A 21,694-nucleotide genomic window follows, 5' to 3' on the forward strand; every position below is an offset into this window, starting at 1 on the left:
GGTGCATGCCTGTAATCCCAGCTACTTGTGAGGCTGAGGCAGGAGAATCACTTGAACCCAGGAAGGGGAGGTTGCAGTGAGCCCAGATTGCGCCATTGTACTCCAGCCTTGGTAACAGGAGTGAAATTCTGTGTCAAAAAAAAAAAGTAAAAACCATTCGTAGCTTGCAGGCCATACAGAATAGTGAGACAGATTTGGCTTGAGGACGATAATTTGCCAATCCATCTATAAACCTCTGATGCATAACAAAATTGTAGAGAAACACCAGAAGTATAGAGAGGCATGCTACACGTGCGTGTGTGCACGTGCGTGTGTGTGTGTGTGTGTGTGTCTGTGTGTGTACAGCTGGCTCTCCATACCCATGGGTTCCACCCATCCGTAGATTCAACCAGTCATGGATCAAAAACATTCAAAGACGCTGGGCGTGGTGGCTGTAATCCCAGCACTTTGGGAGGCCGATGCTGGTGGATCATGAGGTCAGGGGTTCAAGACCAGCCTGGGCAACATGGTGAAACCCCGTCTCTACTAAAAATACACGGTGGCATGTGCCTGTAATTTCAGCTACTTGGGAGGCTGAGGCAGGAGAATTGCTTGAACCGGGACCCGGGAGGCAGAGGTTGCAGTGAGCCGAGCTCCAGCCTGGGCTACAGAGCGAGACTCTGTCTAAAAAAAAAAAAAAAAAAATCAAAGAGGCCGGGCACAGTGGCTCATGCCCGTAATCCCAGCACTTTGGGAGACCAAAGTGGTGGATCACCTGAGGTTAGGAGTTCGAGACCAGCTTGGCCAACATGGTGAAACCCCATCTCTACCAAAAATATAAAAAATTAGTCAGTGTGGTGGCACACGCCTGTAATCCCAGCTATTCAGGAGGCTCAGGCAGGAGAATCACTTGAACCTGGGAGGCAGAGGTTGCAGTGAGCCGAGAGCTTGCCACTGCACTCCAGCCTGGGTGACCGAGTAAGACTGTCTCAAAAAAAAAAAAAAAAATATATATATATATATATTCAAAGAAGAAATGTGTCTGTACTAAGCATGTACAGACTTTTTCTTGTCATTATTCACTAAACAATACATTAAAACCACTATTTACATTGGATTTACATTGCATTACATATTATAAATAATCTAGAGATGATTTGAAGTGTACAGGGGGATGTGCCTAAGTTATATACAAATGTTACTTTATTTTACATAAGGGACTCAAGCATCTAAAGATTGTGATATCTGTGGAAGGTCCTAGAATCAATCCCCAAGGATACCAGGGACAACTGGAGAGAGAAGCGGGGAGAGAGAGACAGATATTTGTTTATATCTCTAAAAGGACACACTAACAACTGGCAACAAGAGGTGCTTCTGAAGAGGGGAACTGGGAAATGTCAGAGGAAATGAGAAGGAAGATATTTTGCACGACATGGCCTTTTACACTGCTTGAGTTTTTCTCCACATGCTTGTGTTACTTTTACAAAGCAGAAAACATTTGCCAAAGGATTACTATGCCACAGACAATAAAAATGAGACGCTATAAACAAATATACACAGTCATGCATCACATAATGACATTGGTCAATGATGGACCACATATACGACCGTGGTCCTGTAAGACTGTAAGGCGGTATTTGTACTGTATGCTCTCTACGTTTAGGTATGTTTAGAGACAGATACTTCCCATTGTGTTACCATTGCCTACAGCAGGGGTCCCCAACCCTCCAAGGTACCAGTCCGTGGCCTATTAGGAACTGGGCTGCACGGCAGGAGGTGAGTGACAGGTGAGTGAGCAAAGCTTCATCTGTATTGACAGCCACTTCCCATCACTCGCATTACCACCTGAGCTCCACCTCCTGTCAGACTGGTGGTGCCATTAGATTCTCATAGGAGCTCGAACCCTATTGTGAACTGCCCATGTGAGGGATCTTGATTGTGTGCTTCTTATGAGAATCTAACGCCTGATGATCTGTCGCTGTCTCCCATCACCCTCAGATGGGATCGTCTAGTTGCAGGAAAACAAGCTTAGGGCTCTCACTGATTCTACGTGAAGGTGAGTTGTATAATTATTTCGTTATATATTACACTGTAATAATTGTAGAAATAAAGCACACAATAAATGTAATGCACCTGAATCGTCCCGGAACCATCCCCCTCACACTGGTTTTTGGAAAAAAATTTCTTCCACGAAACCGGTCCCTGGTGCCAAAAAGGTTGGGGACCGCTGGCCTACAGTTTTCAGTACAGTCACGTGCTGTACAGGTTTGCAGCCCGGGAGCCACAGGCTCCACCGTGTAGCCTGGGTGTGTAGTAGGCTATGCCATCTAGGCTTGTGTGAGTACACTCCGATGTTCTCGTCATGACGAAATCACCTAACAACACACTTCTCAAAACATAGCCCTGTCATTAAGGGACGCGTGACTTCACAGGCAATCACAGCACAACTTCAGCGGGTGCCGTTCATTGGGCCATTTGTAGAATGGAGCCATTGGAGTTGTGAGGGCACACCCCATGTGGCAGCCCTGTTGGTAACAAAACTAACACCAAGAGTTTCTATGAAGTGAAATTTGTGAGTAAATATTAAAGAAGTAGGGTCGGAGTGGAAGTTGTGGGAGGGGAATAAAATCTCACTCTTTCCGTTTTATGCTATTCCTTATCAGGACCACAATAAAGCCAATCTTCTGCCAATATTTACTTTTGATTTTTTTCTCCAGAGTGGAAGAAAAATGCCCAGGCCTGGCAGGAATAGGAGAGTAGGATTGAAAGTTGAAACAAGAGCAGGAAGCTCACCCGGAAATAAAATCATTTCCAGAACCTCACAATGAAAATGACACTTATTTCACAGAAACACTCAAAGGCTGACTCCACTTACGAGACTCCTCTCTTGTAACCCCAGTCAGCTTTCCCAGATATCTTGGGATTCCATGAAACCCACTGCAAGCATTTTGACCCAGGTTGGAGGCCTCAAACAGCAGTCTCCCACCTAAGAACATGGAAGATGTGGATTTTTGGTCAGCAGTGGTTTCAAAATCAAGACATTTCATGTAAATGCAGGAGTTTCTGGCTTCCCTTGAAACTCTTGGCTCTCTGGCCGCCCTGAGCCCACATTCCCACGTGGAAACTTCAGGCTGCCGTCAAACGGTAGTTGCTCCTTCCAGATGGGGCAAGGGCTCCCCGTTTGCCACAGTCCCCACCACTCCCTGTCGCCCTCCATCAGGACCACTTCACTCAATTCTTTTTTTCATTTGTACTTCATTCACTCAACCAAGATTTATTGAGCACTTACTATGTGCCAGAAAGCTGCAAACAAAACTGACACAAATTCCTCCTTCATGCAACTTATATTCTGGCTGGTGAGGCAATGAAGAAAAAGAAGGAAAAGCATAAATTCCAGAGGGTGGTAAGTTCTGCTGACAGTGAAAATAGTGCTGCAAAGGTGGAGAAGGCATGCTGGGTGTGGTCAAGGAAGGCCTTAGGAGGAAGGTACATTTGAGCAAAGATCTGAAGCTGGTAAGGACAGCAAGCCTTCAGGATATCTGTGGAAAGAACAGTCCAGCCAGCAAGAACAGCAAGTGCAAAGGTCCTGGGGCAGGACTGCTCCTTGTGTGTCTGTGAAGCAGCAAGAAGGCCAGTGCAGCTGGAGAAGAGTGAGTGAGGGGAAGGGGGTGGAAATGAGGTCAGAGAGGGGATGAGGTATCAATCTTGCAGGGCCTCATAGGATCTTTGGCTTTTACTCTAAGTGAGGTGGGAGCCGTGGAGGATTCTGAGCAGAGGCAATGTGGTTGTATGGGTGATAGACTCCCTCTAGCTACATGTGGAGACTGGACTGTGTGTGCGAAGCGGGTGGGGTGGGATGGAGGAGAAAGGTGGAAGCTAAGAGGCCAGCAAGGACCCACTGCAGTGGTCCGGGTGCAGGGTGGCAGTGGCAGGACAGGGCGGTGGCTATGGAGGTGGTGACAAGAGGTTGGAGTCTGGACATACTGTGTTTCCCGGCTCTTTTTTTTTTTTTTTTTTTTTGAGACAGAGTTTCGATCTTGTTGCCCAGGCTGGAGTGCAATGGCACGATCTCGGCTCACCAAAACCTCCCTCTCCCAGGTTCAAGTGATTCTCCTGCCTCAGCCTCCTGAGTAGCTGGGATTACAGGCATGCGCCACCATGCCTGGCTAATTTTTGTAGTTTTAGTAGAGATGGAGTTTCTCCATGTTGGTCAGGCTGGTCTCGAACCCCTGACCTCAAGTGATCCTCCCGCCTTGACCTCCCAAAGTGCTGGGATTACAGGCATGAGCCACCGTGCCTGGCCTTCTTCTTCTTTTTTTTCTTTTTTGAGACGGAGTCTTACTGTGATGCCCAGGCTGGAGTGCAATGGTGCAATCTTGGCTCACTGCAAACTCCCCTTCCCAAGTTCAAGCGATTTTTCTGCCTCAGCCTCCCAAGAAGCTGGGACTACAGGTGTGCACCACCATACCTGGCTAATTTTTGTATTTTTAATAGAGGCGGGGTTTCACCATATTGGCCAGGCTGATCTCAAACTCCTGACCTCAGGTGATCCTCTGGCCTTGGCCTCCCAAAGTGCTGGGATTACAGGCCTGAGCCAACATGCCTGGCCTGTTTCCCAACTCCTTTTGGCACTTAGGAGAAACTCCCCTCACTCACTCTCCTCCAGCCACATTGTGCTTGCATGATCCAACCTCAGGGCCTTTGCACTTGCTGTTCCCTCTGCCCTGCACACGCCGCCCCCAGATATTCCCAAGGCTTCCTCCCTCCCTTCTCAGGGCTAAAGCTGCTGAAACAGCCCACATTCCTGACATTCTCCTCCCTTGCTCTGCTGGGTTGGTCACTACAGTGAACTTCCTGGCCTCAATATACAGGAGACGTTTTTTCTTGTTGTTGAGTTGTCTATCTCCTGCCGTAGGGCATCAGCTTGAGGAGGGAACCAGTGATGTCTCTTTTTTTTTTTTAAACAGAGTCTCACTCTGTTGCCCAGGCTGGAGTGAAGTGGCACAATCTTGGCTCACTGCAACCTCCACCTCCTGGGTTCAAGTGCTTTAGCCTCCTGAGTAACTGGGATTACAGGTGTAAGCCACCACACCTGGCAATTTTTTTTTTTTTTAGTAGACATGGGGTTTCACCATGTTGGCCCGGCTGGTCTCGAACTCCTGGCCTCAAGCGATCTGCCCACCTAACCCTCCCAAAGTGCTGAGATTACAGGCATGAGCCACCGCGCCTGGCCAGCAATGATTTCTCTCGTTCACTGCTGTATCCCCGAGTCTAACTATGCCTGGAGCAGAGTAGTCCATCAGTGGGACTTGTAGAAAGAATGAGAGAAGGCGTCAGAGATTGATTTTGTTTCTGCCACTCATTAGTGTATGACCTGTGCAAATGGCTCCTCCCTCCATCCCCAGTATCCTCTTCTATAAAATGGGTCTCTCTACATAACCTCTGTAGGGCTGTTGTGAGAATCTGGGAAGCCTACGGCAAAAAGCCTTTAGCACCATTCAGGGATCTTCGAAGCTGTCCGTGTTAGGTGTTGCTATGAACCTTAGGAGGGAATGAGAGGATAGCTGGAAGAGAGTCACCCCCGCAGAGGCCAAGAAGGAAGAGAGAAACACGTTTGTCCTAAGATGGGACAAGGCTGTTTTTTCCAGTATTTTCAGTAAGAAAACGAAAGAGCATCCAAGAATCTCAGGGCACAGTCCAGGCTGCAAGCTTCTTGGCTGTCTGGCCTCTGCCCATCTTTCCTGCTCTCTGCTCCAGCCTATAGCTCCCTTCCCCGCAGCCCTGTGAGCCCCTCAGTGGCCCCAGGATCCTCTGCTCCTCTGCTCCTCTGGGAATCCAGTCCCCTCCGGCTGAATGCCTCACCTTCCCCTGGGGTCTACCACTCAGCCCTCTGCAGCCAGCCCAGCTCCTGTGTGGAATTCCCTGGTGGCTGGTATGAGGGGGTGCCCAGCATCCCCTCCTCATCCTGTGACAGTGGATAAGGGCCAGCTGTTAGCATCATTGTTGTTATTACTATTACACAAACGCTTCCAATGGATCCACACCACCTAAGCAGCGCCAGGAAGCCAGGGAAATGCCAGAAGCAATAACAGTCAGCAACTATGTAGTACCTACTGTGTACTGTGCTGTATTGCACATAGGCACCGTTCCAAGCCCTTCGTGCTATTAACTCATTTGATTGTCACAGTGTATGAGGCAGGTACTATGTTAACTCCATTTTACAGATAATGAAACAGATCTAGAGTGGTTAAGTAACTAACCACTGAGAAAGCTAGATTCAAATTTGTGGGTTGGCTCTAAAACCTGTTGTTTTAATTAACTCTACACACTGCTGCCTTATGGCATTTTATTGTTTGAAATAATAACATTTCCTGAGCACTCACTATGTGCCAGCTACTAGGCTCAGAATTACCTTTCTTCACCCTGAAAGACCCTATGAGTTCATTTGATTATTAAATAGTCCCATTTTACAGAAGAAGAAACTGAGGCATAGAAAGATAGTGCCTCACACAGTGTGGCAAATTGTGTTTTCTGTTTTTTTTTTTTTTTTTTTCTTGCTCTGTTGCCCAGGCTGGAGTCCAGTGGCAAGATCATAGCTCACTGCAGCCTCCTGGGCTCAAGCCATCTTCCTGCCTCGGCCTCCCAAAATGCTGGAATTACAGGGAGTGCACCCAGCTGCGCATCGTGTTGTCTTAAGATGCTTACAGCATCATCTCTCATCCTCATGATCTGTTTCTGCTTCTTTTTTTTTGTAAAAAAAAACCCCCCCAGCTTTATTGAGATATAATTCACATACCATAAAACTCACCCTTTTAAAGTACACAATCCAGTGGGTTTTGGTGTATTCACAGAGTTGTGCAATCATCACCACTACCTAATTTTAGAACACTTGCATTGCCCCCGAAAGGAACCTCACACCCATTAGCAGTCACTCCCCCTTCCCACCATGTTGTGAGGAAACCCAAACCAGCCCAAGTGAAGAGACCACACGAAGAAGTCACACACAGGTGTCTTTCTGATGGCCCAGCTGCGGTAGCAGCTGCCAGACACGCAAGTGAAGACTCTCCGACCGAGGCCAGCACCCCAGCCACCAAGTCGCCCTCAGCCTTCAGGCTGTCCCAGCCGAGGCCCCAGACACTGTGGAGCAGAGACAAGCTGTCCTGCTGTGCCCTGTCTGCATTCCTGACCACAGGATCTGAGAGATATCATTCCAGGCGAGTAGAATGGCTGCTTTACACCGCTGTGTTCTGGGGTGGGTTTGTTATGCAGGAGGAGTAACCGAGCCACAGCTGGTAAGGGGCAATGCTCGGGTTTGAACCCGAGTCCTTCTGGCTTTGAGGCTGCCCCTTAAACCACATATAGGCTGGATGATCCCCTGGATGTGGAGGAGTCGGCACTCCCTTTCTTGTGCAATCGACTCAGTGCATCGGGGTGACGTGCCCTTTCTCTAGCTGACCTTCTGGAAGCACATAAACGGAGACAGAAATGCTTTCTTTTTGTTTTGCCAGTTTATTGCTGCTGCTGCTGCTGCAGTTCTTATTTAGTATATATGAATTCTTGTTCTTATTTTTTGCTAGTTAGAGTAAGGCTGGGCGTGGTGACCCTCAGCTGTAATCCCAGCACCTTGGGAGGCCAAGGTGGGCAGATCATTTGAATCCCAGAGTTTGAAACCAGCCTGAGCATCGTGGTGAAACCCCATCTCTACAAAACAAATACAAAAATTAGCCGGGCACGGTGGCATGTGCCTGTAGTCCTAGCTACTTGGGAGGCTGAGGTGAGAGGATGGCTTGAGTCTGGGAGGCGGAGGTTGCAGTGAGCCAAGATTGCGGCATTACACTCCAGTCTGGCCGACAGAGTGAGAGCCTATCTCTCAAAGAAAGAAAGAGAAAGAAAGAAAGAAAGAAAGAAAAAGAAAGAAGGAAGGAAGGAAGGAAGGAAGGAAGGAAGGAAGGAAGGAAAGGAAGGAAGGAAGGAAGGAAGGAAGGAAGGAAGGAAGGAAGGAAGAAAGGTTAGAATAAATAGATAAGAAACACAAAAAATCCACCTGCCATCCCCACTACGCAGGAAAAACCTCCACATAACACTTGAATCTTGTAGAATTGTATCTACCAGGCATTTAACTCACGCAATTTCACTGGGCATCAGTGGGCCAAAAAGGGTGATGGGGAGAGTGACAATCTTTATTTTTTCGTTTCTTTTCTTTTTCTTTTTTTTTTTTTTTGAGAGAGTCTTGCTCTGTTGGCCAGGCTGCAGTGCAGTGGTGCAATCTTGGTTTACTGAAACCTCTGCCTCCCGAGTTTGAGTGATTCTCCTGCCTCAGCCTCCAGAGTAGCTGGGATTACAAGTGAGCACCATCACGCCTGGCTAATTTTTGTATTTTTAGTAGAGATGGGGTTTCACCATGTTGGCCAGGCAGATCTCAAACTCCTGGCCTCAAGTTACCTGCCCGCCTCAGCCTCCCAAAGTGCTGGGATTTACAGGCGTGAGCCACCAAGCCCGGCTGAGAATGACAATTTTCATATGGCAAGTGAGTGTAGCTGGCAGGTCCTATTTTTTGTTCAACATGGCCCCAAACACAAGATGACCCCTCTCCATCCAGGGGCTATTTGGATTTGCTAAGTGTTTATAATGCACCACGGTTGAGAGGAAATTTAACATATTTTTCAGGATCATTTTTGATTCTGCATAAAAAGAGACCTTTTTTATCCCTTCCAAAAATGGGATTGAGCTATGCAGATGGTTTTGTACCTGACTTTTTCACGTAACAACGTACTTTGAACTGCTTTTGGGCAAGTGGCTTTCTCCTGGCCTTCATGGGAAGGAAGCGCTCTGGGAGTCCACCTGCGCTCTTGCTGAGTGGCAGTCAAAGTCGACTGGAACTCTACAAGCTGTGCAGTCAGGATGCTGAGCAAAAGAAGCCAGATGGGAAGAGCACACACTGTGTGCTTCCCTTTATAGAAAGTTCAAAACCAGCAAAAGTCATCTATGGGGTTAGAATTCAGGACAGCCATTAACCTTGGGGGTGGTGGTGGGGAGGATTTACCAGGAGAGACATCAAGGGGGCTTCTGGAATGTCCTGTGTACATCTGGGTGCTCATTCCACGAATGTGTCCACTTGGCGAGAATTCACTGAGCTCTTTATGTATAATGTGTGTACTTTTCCTTGCAATTAAAACACACATACAAACACACGCAGATGCATGCGTGCGCGCGCGCGCGCGCACACACACACACACACACACACACACACACACACACACACACACAGTGTTCTTAGAGCGCAGGCTGTCCTGTCTGGAAATACATGTTTAATGCTTTTGCCACATATGGGCAGAGGTGAGTGTTGAGAGGACTGGGTATGAAGTTGGGAACCCAAGTCTGAATCCTGGTTCAGCCATCATTAAATGTGTGACCTTGGGCAAGTTACTTAACCTCTCTGAGCCTCAGTTTCCTCATCTGGACTCTGTACCAAGCCCACAAGATCACAGAAGCAGCCACTGCTCGCCTCTCCATCTGGCTCTTCCGTTCTTCTCTGGCTGTCTCTCTAAGCCCACACCACACTGGCCACCATTCTTGTTCCTATCACAGCAAAGCTCAATGTGGCCTCAGGGCTTTTGCCCTAGCTATTCCTGCTGCCTGGAATTACCCTTTCCCTGATTTTCTTGTGGTTGGTTCCTTTTCCTCCTTCATGTCTCAGTTCAAAGGTTACCTTCTCAGAGAGGAGAGCCCCTCACTGACCACTATCCACACCAGCCATCATCAGTTCCATTCCCTGGCCTCAGTTTCTTCCCAGTGCCTCTTAGGTTCTGAAATGGTCATATTTGTTTCTTGCATTGTTGTTGCTCTTTACTTGTTATCTGCTTGGCACTCCCTCTAGACCCATGGACTCTAGGACATGAGGAATCATGATTGTCTTGTTCATTGCTACACCTCCATCACATAAAACAATGTGTATTTGTTCAATTAACCAATCAATCTATACAGCGATCTGATTCTACTTTATGGAATTCTCGGGAAGTTTCGAAAGTACGTTTTAAACAGCCAGGTTTATAAGAATGAGGAAACTTTGAAAGCTCTGTTTGAATGTGGTTAACTCTACTGAGAAGAATCTAGATAGGCCCAAGATGCTTCGTGAGCTGCGTCTTCCATAATTTCATCTACACTGAAAGTCACTATACCGCTTGCAACCACCCGCCCCCCACCTCCACCTTTTGCTATTTGCACCTTTTGTTATTGGCCATTTGGCTGGAACAAAGTCACTAATATTCTTAGTAGTTTATTTCTATATATAGAGATTTTCTTTTTTTTTTTTTTTGAGACGGAGTCTTACTCTGTTACCTAGGCTGGAGTGCAGTGGCATGATCTCGGCTCACTGCAATCTCTGTCTCCCAGGTTCAAGAGATTCTCCTACCTCAGCTTCCTTAGTAGCTGGGATTATAGGCATACACCACCGAGCCCTGCTAATGTTTGTATTTTTAGTAGAGATGGGGTTTCACCATGTTGGTTAGGCTGGTCTCAAACTCCTGACCTCAGGTAATCTGCCCACCTTGGCCTCCCAAAGTGTTGGGATTACAGGTGTGAGCCCCCACGCCTGGCCAACATGGTTTTAAGATGGTCAAAAGGTACAGAGTGTACAAAGAGAAGTCTGTCTCCCTCTGACTACTGCTCTAGAGCCGATTAGTGTTTCCAGGTACCTAGTAAGCGCTTCCAGAACTGTTCTGTGCAGAAACAGGCATGTGGGCTATATCTTCATCTTTCCCGTTTACACAGAAAGGATCTAGTTCAATACACTGCTTTATATCTTTGCTTTTTCTTTTTTCTTCTTTATAATTGATCTTGGAGCTGTTTCCATACCACACATTGTATGTGTATGTTTTAGTTGCACAGAAAGGTGTACGCATCAAGAGCTCAGAGAGTAACTGGTCTCTCTCTCTCCTTCTCTCTCTCTCTCTTCTTTTAAGACGAAGATTTGCTCTTGTCACCCAGGGTGGAGTGCAGTGGCCTGATCTCGGCTCATTGCAACCTCTGCCTCCCAGGTTCAAGTGATTCTCCTACCTCAGCCTCTTGAGTAGCTGGCATTACAGGCGTGCACCACCACGCCCAGCTAATTTTTGTACTTTTAGTAGAGGCAGGGTTTCACCATGTTGGCCAGGCTGGTCTCAAACTCCTGACCTCAGGTGATCTGTCCACCTCTGCCTCCCAAAATGCTGGGATTACAGGTGTGAGCCACCGTGTCTGGCCATTTTTTTTTTTTTTTTTGAGACAGGGTTTTGCTCTGTTACCCAGGCTGGAGTGCAGTGGCATGATCTTAGATCACTGCAGCCTCTAAGTCCCGGGTTCAAGAAATCCTCCCACTTCAGCCTCCCTACTAGCTGCGACTACAGTCATTCTTTTTAAAAACCATAGAATACTGACGGACACCTCAGGCAGCTCTGGTCTTTTGCTTCTGCAGGCAGTGCTGCAGTGATGGTCCTTGGATGCACCTTTGGGCCCAGGAAAATCACTGATTCCTTTTGAATCTGGTAAAGCAACCCGAGAGTTTACCCCTCCCCAACCTCATCTTCACCCCTCGGCCCATCCCGCCCTTGCTGGTGTTTGTGTTTTGGCCTTTTAAAGACTTTTTCAAAATTGACTTTGGCTTCTTGGCCTGAACTCTGAAGTGTTTGAGCTGATAAGATAGCAGGCTTGGCTGTGGGGGCCAGGGGTAAACAGTGACCCCGGGGCCCTCAGCCCCAGTAAGGGAGGGGCCACAGCCCCAAGTCTCTCCTGTCTCCAGCTGTGGGAGCAGGCGGTGTGGCTGGAGGAGGAAGCTGAATTGCGTTGGGCTCCAGATGGGTTTGGGAACCGGAAGGAAGTGGGAAGCTGGCCCCACACAGACCCACTTCTCTGGGCCTTTGAGAACAGTGCCAAGAGGCGCAACATGGGCTCAGTATTTGCCGGGGCCTCTCCTAAACCAAACAGGACGCCACGGGCAAGTTGGAGCAAAGTCCTGGCAAACCTGAAGACACATCCCGTGGAGCCCCAAGGAGCCGAGGGTCACAGGAGGGGCCCTGCCTCCAAGGCCGTGGCAGACAGAACTGGCACCATCTCCACACAGCGTCACCGAGTGATGTCCAGTCGTCTCAGGCCGGGGATTGTAACTGCCCCGCTCTGATCTAGGCCACAGAAGTGAACAAATCAGTTTGGATTCCCACCCTCTAGAACTTTCTTCAGTTGAGGAGGGAAGAGAGAGGATAAATAGGCAAAAACTGGCCAGGGTGCAGGGGACTACAATGGAGAATGGCCAGGCTGTGGGGGCAGAGCAGGGGCACTGCTCACCCTGGAGGGGGAAGGCCTCCCCAGTCATGCCTCGTCCCAGCTTAAAATGCTTTGGGGCCTGCCATGGTTTCTCAGGGCTCCTGGGACCATGGCCTCTGCGTGATCTTCCCTGCCCACCTCTACCAGCAGGGTCAGTGGTGCCAGCTTGGCAACACTTGGTGCCCATGTCTACCTGGGGTCCCTGCATGGCTGCTCCCTCTGCTGGCAGCGCCCTCACCTCCCACCTCCCACTCAGCTCTCAGCTCTCAGCTGAGATGTCACCTTCTCGTCCAGGAAGCCTTCCTTGATGTCCCTGGATGGTCTTGGGGCTATCACATGCTCCTGTACATTCCTCATCCCTGCTTCAGTCACTCTGGGGTTACTTGTTTGCGGGTGGCCCAAGGTAGCCCAGCATGGCCAGAACCCAGCCCTGTGGATGACCCTGCTGGATTCAAATGCTAGCTCCGCCTCTTAGCTGTGCAACCTTGGGCCTCAGTTTTGCCATCTGGAAAAAGGGCATAGTGATGGCATCTACCTCACAGGGTGGTTGTGAGGAAGAAGCAGTTTAATACAAGTACTTAGAAAGACATCTGGCACCAACTTTGCACTCAGTAAATGTTGGCTGTGCCATTACACTTGTTCTCTCTCCCACAGAACACAGCAGGTGCTCACTTCACATTTGCATGCTAAATCAGTGCAGCCCTTCAAATATGCTCATGAAAATGAGCAATGGGGGGGAAGGCTTAGTTAATTCAGATGCTCCTCGACTTGGGATGGGGCTGCAGCCTGATAAACCCACTGCAAGTTGAAAATATCATTAAGTCAAAAGTGCATTTAGTGCACCCAACCTACGGAACATCATCATAGCTTCGCCTCGCCTCCCTTAAAGGTGCTCGAAACGTTTACACTCACCTACGTTGGGCAAAATCATCTAACACAAAGCCTATTTTATAATAAAGTGTTGAGTATTTCATGTAAAATTATTGTACTCTGTATTGCTAAACTGATAAAAGATTAAAGTTCAAAATTCCAAGTATGATTTCTATCAAATGCCTATCTCTTTCGTACCATAATAAACACGAAAAGTCCTAAAATGAACCATTGTTAGTCGAGGATCATCTGCAACGGAAAAATTTTTTTAAAACACAACAGTAAAGAGTGATTTACAACTATGTAACACACACACACACACACACACACACACACACACACACACACACACAGTCCAATACCCTGGCTTGGGGAAAAGAAAGAAACAGACCGTTTAGTGTGGTTTTGTTAGAAGGATGGGACAAAAAAATAATTTTTCTTCTTTCTTGTTTGATGTGTTTTTTTCTACTCTTCTTTAATAAGCATGGTTTCAATTTAAATGGGAAAAAAAATAACAAAGAATCTAGAGAAGGAACCCGCAAGCCCTTTCTGTTCCATAGAGTTTTCCCACAAACTGGGGCAGGGGGTGGGGTAGGTGGGGTGTGGCGGGGTGGACAGAGAAAGAGCTGCCCTTTAGAAGTTAAGCAAGAGCAGGAAAACCATCGTGTGCCGGGCGGGGGTAGGGTGTCAGCTTGACCAGGGGAAGTTGTGGCAACTAATAACAAAGCAACTCCTCTCCCAACTCTGGGCATGGCAAGACATGCCCCCACTCCCCAGACCCCAAGATGGAGCTAGCAACCCTGCCTAATGCCACGGCCCTGTGTTTCCCTGCAGCGTAACACGTGTCGCACGGCAGCGTCTGTAAAGAAAGGGCCTTGTCCGGGCGCGGTGGCTCACGCCTGTAATCCCAGCACTTTGGGAGGCCGAGACAGACGGATCATGAGGTCAGGAGAATGAGACCATCCTGGCTAACACGGTGAAACCCCGTCTCTACTAAAAATACAAAAAAATTAGCCGGGCATGATGGCGGGCGCCTGTAGTCCCAGCTACTCAGGAGGCTGAGGGAGAATGGCGTGAACCCAGGAGGCGGAGCTTGCAGTGAGCCGAGATCGTGGCACTGCACTCCAGCCTGGGCGACAGAGCGAGACTCTGCCTCAAAAAAAAAAAAAAAAGGGCCTCACCACCTGCCCCCTACTCGCGTATGTTACCTCGCCTCACCTGCCTAACCCTGAAGACCTGCCTGCAAGCAGTAAGGTACTACTGTTAGCCCCATTTCACAGACGGGGAAACTGAGGCTCAAAAGGTGTAATAATTTGCCCAAGGTTGCCCAGTTGATCAATGACAGAGTCTGAACTTAATACCATTTGGGCTGGATGTGGTGGCTCAGGCCTATAATCCCAAAGTTTTGGGAGGCCAAGTCGTGAGGATTGCTTGAGTCCAGGAGTTCAAGACCAACTTGGGCAACATAGTGATAGCTCATCTCTACAAAAATTAAAAAATTAGCTGGGCATGGTGGCATGCACCTATACTCCCAGCTACTCAAGAGGCTAAAGCAGGAGGATCTCTTGAGCCCTGGAGGTTGAAGCTGCTGTGAGTCATGATGGTGCCACTGCACTCCAGTCTGGGTGACAGTGAGATACACACACACACACACACACACGCAGATTTTAACACCATTTGGTTTTATCCTTGTCTGTGATGTCTGTGATTTGTCATCTTTTTTTCCATTTCCACTAAAGTAGATGTTAACAAATGGAAGGCTGGAAGAATGGATGGATGAATGGGTGGGTGGATGATAAATGGGTGGATGGATGGATGGAAGGAAGGATGGATGGATGGATGGATGGATGGATGAATGGGTGAGTGGATGATAAATGGGTGGATGGATGGATGGAAGGATGGATGGATGGATGGATGGGTGAGAGATGGATAATGAGTGGAGGGATGGATGAATGGATGGATGGGTGGGTGGATGGAAGGATGGATGGATGGGTGAGAGATGGATGATGGATGGAGGGATGGATGAATGGATGGATGGGTGGATGAATGGATGGGTCGGTGGATGGATGGAAGGATGAACAGATGGATGGAAGGATGGATGGATGGATGGAAGGAAGGATGGATGGATGGATGGATGAGAGATAGATGATGGCTGGAGAGATGGATGAACAGATAGATGGGTGGATGGATGAATGGATGGATGGTTGGGTGGGTGAAGGATGGATGATGGATGGAGGGATGAATGAACAGATGGGCAAATTAATGAATTAGTGGATGACTGGGTGGGTGGAATGCATGCATAAAATAAATGGGTGACTGAATACAAAAAGAACTAACTAAATAAATAATGATGAAAGGCAGAGGGCACTAAGAGGGTTTCACCTTTCAGGGTTTGTTCCTGGACATTGAATGTGCCCTTTGGAAAGATTGCAAACTGGCAGTTATCAGGGTAAATTGGGCTGCAGACATATTTTGTTTGATCTTCACAGGGTTTTTAATTTTTTGAATTGTCATTATTTTAAAATTAGGAAATTTCACATTAAAAATCTAGATTTCTGATTTCTCCTGCAAAATTGGGCCGGCACCCATACCAGGAAATAATATACCAGGACTGACGGGGCTGAGCCTCTGAGTGCTCACGGTCCCCACTGCTCCACAATGCAGTCCTGCTATTGGGGTTGTGTCCACTGCCATTTATCATGGCAGTTTGGGCTGGTGTTTTTCTCAGTACCATTACAAGGAAAATGAAAAATCTCTTACAGGTGGCTCTTGGTCAAAAGTGGAAAATGAACTTAGGTAAAGAGGAAATTGGGAGAGAAGTATTTCTTTGTGGCCATGGAGAACACTCCTGTGGATTCGATGGACCAGCAATGCATCTTGCCTGAGTGGTTAGGGGCACAGATGCTAGAGCCTGATGGCCTGGGTTCAACCCCCGGCTGTGCTACATACCGGCTGTGTGGCCTCGTGCAAGTCACTGAACGTTTCTGGCCTCAGTTTCCTCATGTGTAAAGCAGAGGTGGTGTCAGTCCCCACCTCATAGAGTGTCAATGATTTTCTCTCCGTGGGGCTCTCTAGGTGTGAGCTGCTATTATCTTACACAGGGCTGGCTCCCGTCATGTGTGTGATCTGCCTACCCTGAGCGTCCACAGCAGCGGTTCTCAACCAAGGTCAACTGTGCCCCCCAGGGGACATTTGGCAATGTCTAGAGACATCTGGGGTTGTCACAACTTGGGTGGGGAGGGGCTACCAACATCTTATGGGTAGAGGCCAGGGAGACTGTGAACAGCCTGCAAGGCTCAGGACAGATCAGCAAAAGATTCTGCTGCCCCGTGTACTCCGCCCCGTGTACTACGTGCTGAGGCTGAGGAACCCGGATCTACAGGAGTCCAAGTCCCCAGAGGGGCTGAGCTATGGCCAGATATCTAGGAGTCCCTGAAGGCTGCCAGAGGTGATTCCCTCTAGACGTGGCAGGAGCCATTCCCTCTGGCCTGAGCCACCTCAGCCCTCAGGATCATCAGGCCCCAAGTAGTGCCCCGTCCCAGGGTGCCTGGCCCCAGCCTGCTCCCAGCCCCATACAACAGGCAAGAAATGTGTCTGTCCCTAGCGCCTCCTGGTGGCCCAGCCCTAAACTACATGACTCTTCCCAGCCCAGGGTGGTGGGAGGGGAGGATGAGGACGTACCTTCCGGGTGTTTAATCCAGACTAGTTGGGAATGTGGGAATTTAAGGTCATGGAAGGCGGTAGCCAATGTTTCAAAGACAAATTGACATAGGTTTGAATCTCAGATCTTCCACTGACCATCTGGGAGGCCTTGGACACATCCCATGACTCTCCTGGGCCTCAGTTTCCTCATCTGGAATGGGGATGATGTTATTTATGTCACAGTTTCGTTGGGAGGATTAAATTAAGTGCATAAACAGATGAAACATACGAGATGCTTAGGATTAAATTAAGTGCATAAACAGATGAAACATACGAGATGCTTAGGATTAAATTAAGTGCATAAACAGATGAAACATACGAGATGCTTCACAAGCCTCCTCTCGGATACTTGTTATTGCTGTGTTCATAGCAATTCATAGCCACTTGTGTTTGATGAATTTCCAGTGTACTCAGAGTGATTTTTTTCACTGACTATCAACAAATAATTTTGCTGCAAAGAAATACAGATATGGGAAAGGATGCACAATATATTATCAAATGACCACAGGCCTCAGAAACATTGTATACAAACACTCTATCTGTGTGTGTGTGTGTGTGTGTGTGTGTGTGTGTGTGTGTGTGTGTGTGCGCGCGCGCGCGCAGAGAGAGAGAGAGAATCTTGGTTGTTAACCAGCCTGGAGTGAACACGACTCACTGCAGCCTCCACCTCCTAAGCTCAAGCAATCCTCCCACCTCAACCTTCCAAGTAGTTGGGACTACAGGCACCTGCCATCATATTTAGTAGAGACAGGGTTTTACCATGTTGCCCAGACTGGTTTCAAACTCCTGGACTCAAGTGATCCTCCAACCTTGGCCTCCTAAAGTACTTGGATTACAGGTGTGAGCCACTGCACCCGGCCTGATATATCTATATTTTAAAAATATGTACTTTCATAACATGTATGAGAAACAAATACCTCATTTTCTTAGTATATAAAAATCCCTAGCAGATCAACAAAAAGACAATTATCCAAGAGAAAAATAGACTAACAATTTGAATGCTTTGCCACCAGAAAAGAAATATAAACAGTCTTTGAACGTATTTTTTAAATGTCCAATCTAACATATAAACAATGAATATGTAGATTAGAACTATGGTGAACACCTTTTTCCCCTATCGGCAAGGCCAAGATCAAGAAGTCCAATCATACTTGGCCTTGGCTAGGACGTGGGGAAACCAGAGCTCACGGAGGTTGCCGGTGCAAATGACGATTGGTAGGTACAACCTTAGAGAGCATTTAGACAACCAGCGTCAAAATGTTTAAACGCACCTGCCCTATGACTGGGCGATTCAGTTGCTAAGAATGTATCCATCAGAAATAGCTCTGAATACATGGAAAGACTTCTGTGAAAGGGATACTAATTGCAGCATTGTTTGTTGCAGAAAAACCCTGGAAATACCTCCGTGACTATCACCAGAAAACTTGTTAGATAAATTATTATATTCAGACAATGGAATGTGCAAAGAATGCTCTCCTAGTGCTGATCTGGAAAGATCTGCCAAGGTACATTGCTAAGTTGAAAAAAACAAAATCCCAGTGCAGAACAGGGTGTGTGGTGTGCTTCTATTTAGAGAAATGAGTACAGGAATCCACGCACATATTTGCTTATCTGTGTTCTGGATGTCTCTGTAATGATCCCCAAGAAATGATAACCAGAATGGATTCTGGGGAGGGAAGCTTGGAGTTTTAAAGCTGGGGATGGGGGTTAAGGATTAGAGGGAGAAGACCCACTGTAAATCTTTTGGTATCTTTTGAATTTTTGCATATGAATACAATCCCTTGTTAGTTTTTAAAAATGGAACTTTTTAATGCATTGATAGATGACAGAGAGAAAAATGCCTTGAAGGATATGCTCCAACGTGTCAATAGCACTTATCTCTGGGTGGCTGATGTGAATTAGAAGCGACTTTTATTTTGTTCTTTTTTTATTATTTCTCTAATCAATTATTTATTTTGAGACAAGATCTTGCTCTATCACCCAGGCTGGAGTGCAGTGATGCGATCACCACTCATTGAAACCTCTGCCTCCTGGGCTTAAGTGATCCTCCCAGCTTAGCCTCCTGAGTGGCTGGGACTATAGGCACTTGCCACCATGCCTGGCTGATTTTTTATTTTTAATTAAATTTTTTTTTGTAAAGACGAAGTCTCACTAAGTTGCCCAAGCTGGTTTTGAACTCCTGGGCTCAAACGATCCCTCTGTTTCAGCTTCCCAAAGTGCTAGGATTACAGGTGTGAGCCACTGTGCCCGGTCTGTTCTTTTTAAAAAATACAGAGACAGGGTCTCACTTTGTCACCTAGGCTAGAGTACAGTGGCATAATCATAGCACCCTGCAGCCTTGATCTTCTAGGCTCAAGTGATCCTCCAGCTTCAGCCTCCCAAGTAGCTGGGACCACAGGCATGCACCACCACTTCTGGCTATATTTTGTTCTTTTTACTTAGATTTTCTAATTTAAAAAAATAATTACCAGCCGGGTGTGGTGGCCCATGCCTGTAAATCCTAGCACTCTAGGAGGCCGAGGCAGGAGGATCATTTGAGCCCAGGAGTTTGAGACCAGCCTGGGCAACATAGTGAAACCGCGTCTTTACTAAAAATACAAAAAAAAAAAAAAATTAGCTGGGTGTGGTGGTGCTCACCTGTAGTCCCAGCTACTCAGAAGGCTGAGGCAGGAGAATCACTTGAACCTGGGAGGCAGAGGTTACAGTGAGCCCAGATCACACCACTGCACTCCAGCCTGGGCAACAGAGCGAGACTCCGTCTTAAAATAAAATAAAATAAAATAAAATAAATAATTATCAAGGTATATTCAGATAATTTTTTTAAAAATTAAGTAAGTAAACACCTCAGTGTTCTCTTGGTAGTCAGGGGAAAACTAACTTCTACATGAAAAAAAGAAAAGACCAAAAACACATACACTTCTCTAAACAGGCAGATTATTTTCATTGCCAAGGACATTACAGAGACTGAGGAGTGGGTTGGAAATATATTCTATGAAAAATCGAGAATTAATACAACTGTCCTACCATGCACTTTCTGGGCATCAAAACGCCAAGCTTCTAACTCAGACCTGAGTTCAAACTCTGACTGCCACTTACTAGCTGGGCAAGTTGCTCCTACGCCGTTGGCCTCAGTTTCCTCATCTGTAGTCTGAGACCACATTGCTGCTGGCAGGCTCGAGTGAGATCATGCCTGTGAAGTACTTGGCTCAGGCGTACTCAGAGACCCAGTTCAAACAGGGAACAGGCAGAAATTCTGCACCCCGCAAGGGTGACAGGGCGGAGGGAGGACAGGAGGGGCCGCTTTGCCGGACTGGGGATCAGTGTGCAACTAGCTGGGCCCGGAGTCCCCCACAAACCGGCCAGCTCAGAGGTTCTTCCGACAGTTTGGAGAGAGTGACACCAAGTGGCCAAGTCTGAAACTACACCTTCAAGCCGGAGGGTTAGAGCCTCTCCCCGACCCCTCCAGCTGCGGTCCTGAGCCAGGCACTGAACTTCCCTGAATCTGAGTTTTTTCAGCTGCGAAATGGAGGTAATCCTGCCTACCTGGCAGAGCGGAGGTGGGAATTAAATGAGGTAACCCGCAGAGATTCTCTCCAGGACCGCCATGTTGCACAACTTCAGGGGCCCCATTCATGAAACTGTGCAACATAGCGGCACCCCTAACAGGTGGCTGTCATTATCATCCCTCCCTCAGACACTGAGTTTCCTTCTCTACTCCCCTAGAGCGATTCTGAAGCTGGGTCTTCCAAAGTATAGAACAAATACCAGTGGGATTCGTGGGGAGATCTTGGTGGGCACAGCACCCCAGTATCAAATAACATTTCATTCTCTGTCAATCATTCTGATGGCATCTAGGCGGCAGTCTCAGTTTGATAGGAACATGACATTAACGCCTTTCTAACACTTACCTGCCTCCCTTCCGAACTTTCTGTTTGAGAGTGGGCCTCAGACTTAGTGCCTTCAGAAGGCAAAATTATTTGGCTAGAATTTAATAAAGTTACATGTTTTCATAATATTTACTTTTTGTGGTCACCTTCTATTGAGAGCAAGTGGTGCTGGTTTTCCCTTTACAGTAGATGTGGTAGATTGTATTATTGTCAAAGTATTTATCCCATTGGCAATTCCCTGGTGACCCTCCCGGCTGAAGTCAGGCTTGGCTGTGTGACTTCCTTTGGGCAACAGAGTGTGAGCTAAGCTTTCGAGAAGCGGCTTTGTCATGTGGTTTATCTCTGCTGTGAGAATGGCCTGCCCCAGGAATGGGCTGCACCTTTAACCTGGATCAGAGTAAAGATGACATACGGCCCAGAGCTGCAGTGACCCACAACCAACAAGTAATGAGAAAATAACTGAGGATTCATATTCTCAATATGAATAAGAAATCGACCTTTGTCATTAACAAGCTCCTGAGATGCTGGGGCTGTTTGTTATTGCAGTAAAACATAGCTCGAGTTGGCTGATGCAGTAGAGTTATTAAGTTTCCTTTAAAAATAAATATACTGGGCCGGGTGCAGTGGCTCACGCTTGTAATCCCAGCACTTTGGGAGGCTGAGGTGGGTGGATCACGAGGTCAGGAGTTCAAGACCATCTTGGCCAATATGGTGAAACCCTGTCTCTACTAAAAATACAAAAATTAGCTGGGTGTGATGGCACGCGCTTGTACTCCCAGCTACTCAGGAGGCTGAGACAGGAGAATCGCTTGAACCCAGGAGGCGGAGGCTGTAGTGAGCCGAGATTGTGCCACTGCACTCCAGCCTGGGTGACAGAGCAAGACTCTGTCTCAAAAAATAATAAATAAATAAATAAACTGGCCTGGTGCAGTGGCTCACGCCTGTAATCCTAGCACTTT

The 21,694-nt window shown here is 47.5% G+C and overlaps 4 annotated features.

The window, feature by feature from the left end:
• Window positions 4,346-5,311: an enhancer, noted in NCBI's record as "H3K27ac-H3K4me1 hESC enhancer chr20:49065061-49066026 (GRCh37/hg19 assembly coordinates)". NCBI's record gives its function as "activates a minimal SCP1, AML or CMV promoter by ChIP-STARR-seq in primed H9 embryonic stem cells {active_cell/tissue: H9 hESC(primed)}" and the evidence as "EXISTENCE:reporter gene assay evidence [ECO:0000049][PMID:30033119]".
• Window positions 13,535-14,063: an enhancer, noted in NCBI's record as "H3K4me1 hESC enhancer chr20:49074250-49074778 (GRCh37/hg19 assembly coordinates)". NCBI's record gives its function as "activates a minimal SCP1, AML or CMV promoter by ChIP-STARR-seq in naive H9 embryonic stem cells {active_cell/tissue: H9 hESC(naive)}" and the evidence as "EXISTENCE:reporter gene assay evidence [ECO:0000049][PMID:30033119]".
• Window positions 16,013-16,513: an enhancer, noted in NCBI's record as "H3K4me1 hESC enhancer chr20:49076728-49077228 (GRCh37/hg19 assembly coordinates)". NCBI's record gives its function as "activates a minimal SCP1, AML or CMV promoter by ChIP-STARR-seq in primed H9 embryonic stem cells {active_cell/tissue: H9 hESC(primed)}" and the evidence as "EXISTENCE:reporter gene assay evidence [ECO:0000049][PMID:30033119]".
• Window positions 16,725-16,844: a silencer, noted in NCBI's record as "silent region_13020". NCBI's record gives its function as "represses an Ori minimal core promoter by ATAC-STARR-seq in GM12878 lymphoblastoid cells {active_cell/tissue: GM12878}" and the evidence as "EXISTENCE:reporter gene assay evidence [ECO:0000049][PMID:35858748]".

The sequence above is a fragment of the Homo sapiens genome, chromosome 20 (genome assembly GCF_000001405.40).
Source record: "Homo sapiens chromosome 20, GRCh38.p14 Primary Assembly".
NCBI classification, from domain to species: Eukaryota; Metazoa; Chordata; class Mammalia; order Primates; family Hominidae; genus Homo; species Homo sapiens.